Genomic DNA, 12,820 nt, shown 5'->3' on the forward strand with positions numbered 1-12,820 from the left:
TACCTGTGTTTTAATGGTCTATTGATGAACGGTTCTTAATTTTCATTTGGCAAATTTATTAATCTTTTTGTTTATGGTTCATAACTTGGGATCTTATCTAAAAATTCTACAGTGATGTCATGGAGATACTATCCTGTATTATCTGCTAAATACTTTATAATTTTGACCTTCTCATTTGATTCTACTTTCGATACAGCTGGAATTAATCCATTTCAAATGAAACTTTCCTTCTCCTTCTCCTCATTCATTTAACAGGTTGCTAAAGAAAACTAGCATTTTTTGAGAAGCATTTCTTGAAGAAATGTTGAAGATAGTCTGCTTAGGAGTGGGAATATAATATGGGGTGGATCAGGAAGTTTGACCTACAATAATATGTAAATTAAAGTCCATTTAATTTTATATAAATTGTGCTAATCCTCATATGTTCAGGGAGAAATAAAGGAGTAAATTTAAAAAAAACTGTTTATAAATCAATTAAAAATGATTGAATTTATTGGGGACATAGACATGCTTTTAATGGTTAGCTAATATGATCCAAAATTTGGGACTGCAAGTAAAAGCATCCTAACAAAGGATAGATGGAGAAGGATACAGACGAGCTGAGAAGGAAAAAAACTTGTAGACATAGAAAGTTTAGTTAATTTTTTTATTTTCCTTGGTGATAAATAGGAGCTGAAATATGGTCAATTGCAAAAAGTAGACAAATTTGAATTATTTATAGTCAGCTCAAAGGGGTTTTTGTGTGTGTGTGCATGCATATAAGTTGGATGTGGAACTTAATTGTATATAGCTATGGTTAGGGCCTGGAATTTAAATCAAGTAAAAAAAGTCATAGAGATTTGATTCAGGGATTTGTTCCCCTTTCCTCTCCTAAATCATTATCAGTCTGTCCTTCTGCTTATGCTGTAACTGAATGGCCTATCTACAGGCCTGATGCCATTTAGAGGCTAAATATTCTTACCCGTCTAATAACCATCTGAAAAAATCAAATGCTGTATAAAAGTTTTGGTTTTCAAGGATTTTTTTAAACATTAAGATTCTAAGTACATGCAAAAATAAACACAAAATATTAGGTGAACTATCAGCAATTTAATTGGGTAAAATATTTCAGTTTCTATAGTAGACTTAGAAAGCAGACTTTATCATCAAAATGGCTTATTTTAATTTTTATTTATGAGTGAACGATATACCCGAGATTTGCTTTATTTTAATGCAGAAATGTTGGTAGGTATAAATAAAGGATGGCAGCAAGTTAATTCTGTTGGTTGGGTGATGGGTATGTTGATATTTATTGTACTATTGTTTTATTTTTTTCCTGTGTTTAATAGTTTCCATAATAAAAAATTTAAGATATAAAGCTGATTTGTAAGGATGTTACTTGTTAAGGGATAAAATTTAAAGGCTACAGGTTAATATAATTTTTTTCTGGGGTGGAAAAACTACTTTGCTCACATACATATTAATGTCTCCATCCATCTCTATTCATTTATTCTCCCAAACATCCACCCCTCCAACAGTCCAATAAGCACTGAGCCCTCACTACTCTAAGACAGTGTATAGATCATTGTAGAATATAAAATTACTTAAGGGAAGGTCACTGAAACACAGAATTATGGAAATTGAAGAAAACTTGGAGCTAATTAACCAAAATCTACATTGTATAAATGATTATCCTGAGGCTCAAGAAGTTACACAGTTTCCCCAAGATCACACAAAGATTTTAGTGACAGAGAAACATATCCAAGATTGAAAACTTTTCTTATGTTACATGTAATGAGTCATACACACTTGATGTAACAAAAATATTTATTGGGTTCCATCTACTGCAATTGTGAAGGCTTCCATGTGAGTGATAATGGAATTGCACTTTCCTATGTTCTCTTATAAAACTCATTTAATAGCCACAGTGGACTGAATCCATTGAGTTTTTCAGTAACATCCAATTCTGCTATATTCAGGTCCATCTTCATATGCTGTGAAAAAAGATTTCACAAATATGGAAGTGGTAAGAAAGCATGCATTACAAACCTAAGTAAATTTGGCAGATTCACCTTAGGGATTTTGCTACAAAAAGCAGTTTCTGTGGGATAAAAAGTATTTTGACATGGAAATATCTTAATAACTCTATAAGGTTGTCAGTTTTTCTTAGGGGAATTTTTTTCTACCAAGATAAATTACAATTTTGTCTCTTTTGAGGTTGCAAAATGAAGGTTGCAAAGGCAGCAAATAGCTGGTGCCTAGAAAAGCAATAAACTTGCTCTGCCTTAGTTATAACTATATAAAAAATGCTCAAAACTTTTGCAGTGCTTATCATAAGAAAAATGTGTGTAATTTGGGACTAAGTAAGGCTGTGTAGACTGATGGCTATCTGAGGCTCTGACTTCTACAAATTAGTAGCTGTGTAATCTTGGACAAGCTATTAAGCCTCTCTGTGCCTGTTTTCTTCTCAGGTAAATGAGGCTAATAATAAAACCTACTTCATAGTGTTTGGGTGAGGATTAAATTACATTAGTCATGCAAAGCTTTTAGGCCACTACCTGAAAAATCATAAGTGTTCAATTAGTACTAGTTAGTATTAGTCTTCATATTATTTGATTCAACTACGTAACAATTTATGGTAGAAAATTCATTAATCATTGTTGGCTAAGTTGGCTAGAGCACTAATTTTCAAATCTGTTGAGAATTTGGAGCAGTGATTATCAGTTGCCAATCTAGAGATACATATTAGTGTCCGCTCCCTCTATCTTCCCTAGAAATAGGACCCAATTTTATTTGGGGTAGGAAGGCATCCAAGAATGAGGCAATGTATCTTGGGTGAAGTATCTTATATAAACTCTGGGTTAGGAGATGTTTGCATAAGTATTTTCTGGGATGCTGAGAAGGCTGCTTCAAGGGCAATCCCTCAACTTGAGAGTGCTTCATTTTTTTCTTCATCTAATTTTCTCCTGTTTCTTGCCGCAAAAGAAAAAAGTATCAAGCGGCTAATTTGGAGCATGAAGCAACATTGAAGATGGAAGCCATGATTAAAGATGGTAGAGCAGAAAGAAGGAAACTGGGCTCCACTGAGTTTTTAGAATTTCTATACCAATTTGGGATTTCCTACTTCACAACTTCTAAAAGAAAAATGGAAGACTGCAAATCTTTATTGTGTTTGAGCCTCAGTTATTTCGAGTTTTTATTGCTAGCATTCACATAAGAATTTTAACTGATGCAACACACCTTATGGAGAATGTTGAAAATAAAGGTCCCTTGTTCCAGAGATATTCATTCAGTAGGTCTTGGATGAGATCCAGGACCAGCTAAGTTTGGAGCTATACTAGCACATAAAACTTGAGGCTTCTGGGTCATGGGGATTTTATTCCCATGTGTTAGCTTTTGTCAATTTTAGAGGGAAAATTCCTGTGAAGTGTCAGAAGACAGAAAAAAAAATAACCGTTGTATGGGCATCATATATGTGTTACTCTAGGAGGCAAACCATTTGAAATGCCCGTTCTATTACCAATAGTCAAATTTTCATAAAGAAAATTTATCATGGGAGAAAAGGCATTGGATGGACTTTTTAAAATTTTATGAGATAGGAACTGGGCAGGGAAGAAAAATAAGTTATTATTTTGCTGAAATAATGGAATAATCCTGATATCTTAAAATCAGTTGGGAGAAGTCAAGCCTTAACAAAGGAATTTACTAAATGTGGGTAGTTTGTGGTTATCAACAGAGCCAGAGGGGAAAATGGCAAAGTCATTCTGGTACTAAGGGAGTCTGTACTAAATCACAGTAATTTCAGATAAAATTGGCCAAACATCAATTCTAACAGCATGCTTATATTAAAGAGAAAAAAAAGTATTCATGGTTCAAGAAAAAAAATACTCTTTACAATCACTTGTGCACAAATATTTCTTGGTATGAATCAGAGAATATATTCTCATAACCAGCATTATACATGCATGTAATAAATGAACCTAAGAAGTCCACCAGTCCCAACTGTGGAAGTTTCATTCAGCAAGATCAGAAAGCCATTAGCCAGCATGATTGAAACCTTTTCTGTGAAACAAGGTCTGCGAGGGTCAGATTTACTCAGCAATTCAACCTTCATTACCTCTCTTTCAAGTAGAAACCCACTTGGCTTACATTTTAACAGTACATCTCTAATAGGGTGGCTCCATTGAGATCCTGGGTAGTAAAAAGTATGCCAAGGTGGTTTGGATCCATTTTGATACCTTCTAAGCCTGAGCTCCAGAGCTGCAGGGTCAATCTTCCTTACCAGTCAATAGTTTCTGTCTAGAGTGAGACACAAAAGCCTATTTTTGATATTTGGGCACCCTTCTGAAAGGATGAAAATCCAAGGTTATATCACTCTACGTGGAAAATAAAAAGCTTATGATATCTCTTTTAGTTGAAAGCTTATATAGCTCTCCTTGGTGAACATTTCCTGAGCTTTCGTTACTGTGCTGAGTGCCATTGCCCTTCTTAGAGTTGACCGCATTTCTGAGTCTGAAGCACTTGTGGGCCCTTTGGGATGAAAGACACTTTCCTTGCTAAGTGCCATCCATTTTTATTGTTATTATTAAGTCAATTCCCAAAGTCACATCCACTAACATGGCATTTTCAAAAATGACATATTGCAGCAGTGTACTGGGAAATGCTGTTCAGCTGGCTTTCTTATGCCGGCCTCATAAGTATTGTGTTTGTGGTGATACTTTTGGGAATGACGCTTCTCTTTGGTGGCTCAATATGCCCACAGGTAGTAAGCTATTAAGGGAATAATGATGGGCAAAAGCAGGTGGCAGACACTTTATGACAGGCTCGTCTTCCACCTAAGTCATCTGTTGTTTAAGAGTGTATGTAGTCTCTGTACATAAAGACTGGCTCTTGAGAATAATGCAGAGTGATGATATTCAAACACATTCTTTGAGAACTGTTAGAGTAATTGGCTTAAAATGCACTGTGTTAGTAGACATCAATTGCAAGAAATATGCCAAGTTTGTGGAAGCATGGCTTTCCTATTTAATTTCTAGAGGGAATTTGTATAATGCCTTTTCATTACATGATGGTGAAATTTGCAGTGCAAATATAACAGAAATTAGGCAACTATACAGAATGAGAATCCAGGGAACAAAGCTATCATCCAGATTTTCATAGCACTAAGGTAAATCATGAGTACACATCAAAGATATAACTCTCAAAATATTCATTTGATGGTAATAACTGCTAACTTAAAAAAATACAAAAGTGCATTTGGGAAAGATTTCTGAGGACTCCTATCTATGTACTGGTTTGAATATGATATAATTTAGTGTGGTATAAAATAATTTAGAAGAGGCTTTTTAATTTTTTTCTACTGTACCTGATAAATGCTATGTATTCTAGATAAGGAACAAAAAGAAGCAGTAGGTAAGTTTGGGCAGAGTGGTTAGTCTCAGTGCAGGCTTTATTTTAGAAGCACTTAGTACTTATTCCCAACAGTGTTTCTCCATATACAACTTATCAACTAGAAATCACAGTGGCGGCCAATGGACTCCTTAAATAAGGTTAATTCCCCTGTTTAACCCATACATTTCTTCAAGGATCACATATAGGTATGGTATAAGGGCTGTAATAAGATTAGATGTTGAACATCTAAATGGCAGCCCCGCCACGCCAACACCCAGCATATTTCTCTTTATATAAACTACTCTGACTCAGAGAGGGCCTCAAAGAAGGATTCAAAGTATATATCATGAATTTATTTTGATTAAGCTATAGAAAATACAGGATTGCATTCCAGGTTTTTGTTTAAAAACTAATAAAAATGACTCTTTAAAAAGTGCAGAGTAGACATGTATTCTATTTCATTTTCTTTTCTGGTTTTATCTTTGAATACAAGTAGTTATAGCCCAGGTATTCTTTCTCAAGAGAAAAGTTGAAAGAAAAAAAAATCAGATCACTATTTTTGTAGGGGAAACTTGAGTCTCTGTTGTTAAAAGAATTCTGGACTTGATATGTGTTCTTAGTGGGGCTCAGAGATACTTGTGTCTGCTATCTTTAAGAAATTAACTCCTGGAATTCTTGAATAATGAATTGCTAACCACTTGTTTCAAAATATTGCCCTCTCCATAAAAGAGAAATGGATACTATGTATTTGATTTTTAAAGGAGTAAAGGACACCACCAAATTTTATGTAACATAAAGGAATAAAAAGAGCTACATTTGCTTAATTTTTGGAGAATATCAATTTCAAAATTATAAAACTCAGGATGGCATGTCAAAACATTTATGAAAGACAACCCTTACCTGACTTGCCCATCCTTGAGTTTTATTGCCTTTTCTTCTGATCCAGACTATAGAAGCATCATGACATGATACTGCTTTCAACATCCTCCTTTGGACAGTCAATAAACGTGACAATACCTTTACTAAAAGTGACAATCTGTAAATAATTTCACTTAATACTTTTGAGAGCCAAAAATCCTTCCAGTCTCTCCCTCACTTCTTATTTCAGGGTAATTACGAAAAGCTTAATGTATATATTCAACCACAAAATTAAACTGAAACCAAAAGCTATGATTCTAATGATTAACTATACAAGCCTGCACAGTTCTAAATTGGCCAAACTGTCACTTTCATTGCTCCATTATGGGCACTGATCCAGAAATTAATTAGAAATACAAATTATGTCAAATTTGGACCTATGCAGACTAGCCAATTGAGCAATAAAAGTTGAAATTCCTATAAAGTGTAGAAACCACATGTGGAAATAATCATAGCCTTTTATCAATCACTTAAATATATTTTATTTGTGTTTCCATTTAGATTTCATATAAATGAATAAAGTGCATGTTTTTATAGAGATTGTATTAAAGATGATATATTTTAAAATTTTTATTAAATATTGTTGATAATGACTTTTTATTTCTAATTTTTAAATTTAATGTTCCATAGAATGTAATGAAAAGCCAAGATGCTATATGTAGTTGTGATTTATTTTTCTCAGTAATATGTTTGCCACTTTATTACAGTGGATGAGATGACTATTACTTTTATTTTTAAATATTTAAGTGCTAAAAAGGTGGTTTATTTAGTTATTCCATATTCTATATAATATATTCATCTTTCTCAATAGATTATGATTCAATTTTCTTTGCTCTAAACTTGTTTTTAAAATAAAATTACCTCTATTTCTGGATCATCAATTGCTACTCTAAATTTTTGTCTTATTATGGCTTTCTTTATACTAATTCACCTTTAATTTTCTCTCCTACTTTGGTTGAATTATTTTCCAAATTCAGAGCTTAAACTTGATTTGCACCATTGATATTAAATACTTTCTTATGTTTCATAAATTGTCCTTGATGCTATTAAAGGAAACATCAAATACTCAGTAGAAATTAGATTTAACAGGCAGATGAATCAATTTAACTAAGATAGTACTATTTTACAATGGACACTTATGATAATTCATATTTTTCAGAAATACATTATACCAAAAGATTGAAAAAGAACACATGGATAGATTGCTATATTTCTATAGAGTTGAAGCTATGTAACTGTTAAATAATCTCTCTGGGTTCTTTGTAAATTTATCATTTACAAAAGCACTTATTTCTCTGGGAAGTAGGGTGAGTCACAGTATGTTTTGAACAACTGAAGACGGGTAACTAGTCTATCATAGAATGCATAGGGCAGTTTCTAGTGCATTAAGGAGTCATGTTGTTCTAATGTAACAGAATTATACAATTATGGGCTTATGATGATTTATTTAAATTGGTAATTTAAAAGCCATTTGAGTCTATATTTTAATGGGCACAAAGAAGACATACTGCAGTGGAAAGAGTATTTAGACTGAAATAAGTGCTATGAATCTGTTTTGTCCTTTACTAATTATGTGACTTTAGGTAGGTTACTTAATCTTTCTGAGCCACAGTTCCGTTTTATATGAAATTAATATAATAATACATACCTTACAAAGTTGTAATAACAACTAAATGTCATATCATGAGTAGGCAGTTAATACAAGGTTTCTTTGTGTGTTGTCTCCAGACAGATGAAAAATAAACTTCAAGACAGAGATCAAATTTTCATGATGCTAAGCCATAAGGCAGACATTTAAGAATACTTCTCCTGCCTTCTGTGAACATACAATTTTGCCACAACTCTGTGTCTTTAACAGCTCTTTTAATTAATTTTAGCAAAGAAAAAAGGCCAAATTAGTATCTTAGCCTAGATTTAAATGGAATGTTTTGGGAAGGATTTTCACTATATTTAGGTTACAATAAAGACCTAGTGATTGCAGGTGATCCTGTGGTCCCATTAAGCAGCACATTTTTTGGAAGAAATGTAAATTTAGGAACCCTGCTTCGAATGGTAAATCCTCTCAAAGTTTGAGATAATAAGGCTTTGACAAATTTACATATTTATAAAAATTGATAATATGTGTGTGTTTCTTAACACCTTGTAAAACAAAAGAGGTGAAAGTTTTGGGAGGTCAGCCTATGGGAAGAAAAGAAGTATCACTCAGAATTTATGTGCAATCCGAAGTACGTAAAGAATCTGAAGTGGAATTTAAGGAGGCAAAAGGAAACTTGAGAGCTATGCTTCTTTCTGATGAGAAAGGAAGATGCTCAAATATATGCAGAAAGATGTCAAAGACAAAGTTTTCTTATTTTCATCTGAAGCACTGAATTGAAAGTTTCATTCTTTTTTCCTCAGTATTTAAACTGCTTTTGGGTTGTGTTTTACAGGCTATGTAATTCCCACTTCCCAATCCCTCTGGGAAGTTGTGGCCATTTTAGATATGCTGAAGTGAATTGAAGAGATCAAATTCCACATTGCAATTAAATTGATCTGACTTTGAAATGAGTTTGGTATCCAATCTAGCCTTCATTTTAATTTTTGTCTTTTGGGAAAATATAGGCCTTTCTTTAATTTTATTTACACATGCCTAGAGGCATTGTAATGGATGGATTTTACCATGAGAAAAAAAATTAGGCTACAAATAAGCACATTTGTCACTGCTGGTGAGTGAATTCTACACTTATATGTTATTAAAGTAATGGCTTTGCATGAATATATTAACTCTAGTGAAAAATCAAGGATTACAATTCTACTAAAGTTAAATTTATTATACTTTTAGGCAAGCCCTTTAAATAGCTGTGATTTTCCATTTAATTTGTATTGTATAGTGGTTAGTGGTGCTGCTTTTTGTTCCTCTTAAATAACAGTGTGCTATCTACTGGCATTTGTAGCCTGCTACTTTAATATGCATAAATCCCAATACGCTCTATGGCTGATGCTTTTAAGATGAGATAGTAGCTTTCCTGGCGTATTTGTTGATTTATTTTAGCAACTGAGAAAGTATCAGGCCATTGAGGTTGGATCCAATTAATCTTTGCTTGCTTTCTATCTTTTCTCTCTGTAATTTTTCTCAAAGCTTTGAAAAAGAGTGCTACCAAGTATGCATGTAATAGAAAAATGTTTTAAATTGGAAGTGGATCACAGTTTAGAAATTGATTGTGTCTTGTGGCATTGCTATAATGAAGAACTGTTTTAAAATACAATTATTTGACTTGCTTGAAAGTTTCTATACCACATTAATAGGAAAGTTTTTGAGGTCTAGGTTTTTCTTTGTTTTTAAGGAAGAGTCAATGCACCTTATAAATAGCATACGGTGTTACTTTTGGGATAAGTAAACTTATATGTGTTTCAATAAACAGATTCCAAATTTCCAAGAAAATAATTGGTTAAATATAAAGAAATGCTTATTTTTAAGTTGGAACATGCTGACAATGGGGAAAGTGTTCTAAATTTGGTCTTTAGCTTATGTAATCTCTGCCCACTTTTTTATTTATTTGGAAGTTTTTTTTGCAACCAGAAATGCAAACAAGTGTTGAAATTTGCATTCAGAAATTATTCTCTCTTTATTAGAATACAAATTCTGATGTGAAGCAGGTGGTGATTCAAATGCTGATAACCTGTAAAAAGTAAAAGTACCTTTATAGATATAAGAAAAGAAGAAATATAATATTTTAGAAAATGATTGATTTGAATTAAAATAGAAGTACTAGCATACTTTAGTTTTTCTGTCTTATCTGAAAATGTGTAAGCCTGAATTAGGGATTTTAGTGGCTCTAGCATTATTTGGATTTTTAAAAAATTAATCAAGCATGGAGAATTAGACTTCTAAAATATTTATTTATTTTATCAGCAAATATTTATTAGTCATCTACTATTTTAGTTACCTATTGCTTCATAAAAAAATTACCACCAACCATAGCAGCTTAAACAACAACCGTTTAGTATCTCCTACAGTTTCTGAGGGTGAAGAATCCAGTCGAAGCCTGGCTATGTGGTTCTGGCTTAAGATCTCTCATAGGGTTGTAGTCAAGATATTAGCTAGGGCTGCAGTAATCTGAATGGTTTACTGGGCTAGAGGATCCAGTTCCAAGCTCACTCATGCAACTGAGTAGCTATTCATAAGAGACACCAGTTTCTCATTATGTGGAGCTGCTCGTGACATCACAGTTGCCCTTTCCCAGATGAAATGATTGAAACGAAAGAGGATGCACCCCAAACAAAAGGTACCGTGATTGTTATTATATAATCTTGGAAGTAACATTCATCACTTCTGTCATATTCTATTGGTTACAAAGATCAATGCTGGTGCAATGTGAGGTGCAGATACTAGGATGTGTGGGAATCACTGGGATCCCTGTATTGGAACCCTGTTTTCACTTCTACTGTATGCTCTAGATGATATTAGATACAAATATGGATGACGTTATTTTGTGTCAGACAGTGAATTCAAGATCAGATTATTTTACTTCTTGTTCTAAAAATCTAGTTACAGTACAAAGGCATTCATTTGAAAATAAGTTTTCTTTAAAAAATTTCACATCTAAAGGAATACTTTAAGGATAATTTAGGATATATATCCTTAGAGAATAATTTAGAACAAAAAGATTCTGTTTCTTTTTTCTCCTATTCTAAACACCAAGCCAGATGAGTTGAAATTAAGTGAGATGCTCACTGCAGCATGGAAAAAGCAATTTCTATTGGTAAAATTTTATTTCTTAGCCTTCAAAAGCCAATTTTGTCAGTAGCTCCTTTCAATCCCAAGCTAAAACATTTCATTTCTTGAGAAGGTGTTAAATGTGTATAGTTAATGAATTTACACATATAAAATGAATTTTGCTAGGATTTCAGACAAAGGTAATAGTAGTTTGAATTTTAGTTGACTTTTTTGTTGAATGCTTATTTTATCTTAAAGTATACATCCTCTTTCTTCTTCTTCTTCTGTGGAATAAAGCAATGAAAAGGAAGTGCTTAAATTTGTTAGTTTTATTATATATTTTTTATTTAAGGACTAATCCATATGTCTGTAAAGTCCCTCTCTTCTCTGGTATATGATTCTTGTGTAATAGGGGTCATGCAAATAAGCTTTATTTAAATTTTTTGTTTTAAAAAGATTTCTATTTCCACAAATATTGATTAAACATCTATTATATGTAAGGTATTATTATATTATATATATTCATATACCCTAGTTTTGAGAAACAGCAACTCACTTGCAACTGCCTTTAAAAACTGGGGAATTTATAATAAGATCATTGGAGAATCTCATGGAATACAGAGAAGAGTTGTGTATTTTTGCTTCTGGTAGGAGTTTCATTGATTTCTCTGATTTATGCCTTTCTGTAAATATCTATTTCATTGCTTTCTTTCTCCTTGCAGACTGACTTTCTCCTCACTCCCCACCCCTGAAATATTTATTTGGAAAAGGCTCCCAATGTTTCTGTATTTACATATGTCCAGCCATAATGGTATAGACTGATTTAAATCTCACAGATATAGCTTCAAATTCACAGGGAAAATAACTTTTGCCTTCAATTGGTTCAGTTATTCATTTTTCTGTTGTTCAGGTGAGTATGAAAGAAATACTGTGAATGTCCTTGTTTTTGTTTGATTGATTCTGGAACACTCAGTTGTGATGGGAGTGGTATCATGTTTGTGAATCTATCATCTGGAACCATATAAATGTAGGTCAGAAGCTTTTTCCTGGAAAAGCTTGGGCATTAAACAAGTCTCTAATTTGGGCATCATATGATTTCATGAAAGTTTAACTATTTTTGTTATTCAGTGTGAAATATTCTCTTTGTGCATATTCTCATTTCCTTCCCTTTATTGTCTCTCTTCTATTTAGAGGTGTCTTTATTCATGATAAAATCATATGCCAGATTTTCTTTATTTACTTTGAAGAGGGTCTTTTTATTTTGACTGTTCTATACAATTGCAAATTACTCAAACTTGTTAAAACTTAGGGCAGTGTATATTATATACCTGATGTTACTATTAAATGAAAATATTGCAACTTTAAACAAATGAAAGCATTCTACTTCATATAGGTTTTACTTTTTATTATTTTTATTTACTTTTAATAGTCAAGTCTCATTTAGTTATACATTGTAGAAATAATTTTGGTGGAAAATAAATTAATTGGAGGCATGGTGGGGTGACTCAGGGAGTCAAAGAAGATTTGGACAAAGATAGAAACTTGAAAGCCACTGGAAACCTAAGCTTGTAGCTATCATCTGTCGCTTTATTTTTCTGTATTTGGAGTTACCGGAGCTTTGCCTCTCTTTCCTTTCTCTAACTTTCTATCTCATGTCTCCTTTCTGCAGTATATCCCATCCTCGTCCTCAGTCCACTTTCACTGCTTTGTTAGGCATATTGCTGAAAACATTTCCCCCAGTTTCTGAAATTATGTGTCCATGGTACAAGTGACATAAGAAACAGTTAAAAGTATCACAGATCCAAATACCCAGAAGAAAAAAATATGGTTGCTTCA

The sequence above is a fragment of the Homo sapiens genome, chromosome 14 (assembly GCF_000001405.40).
Source record: "Homo sapiens chromosome 14, GRCh38.p14 Primary Assembly".
In the NCBI taxonomy this organism is placed as follows: domain Eukaryota; kingdom Metazoa; phylum Chordata; class Mammalia; order Primates; family Hominidae; genus Homo; species Homo sapiens.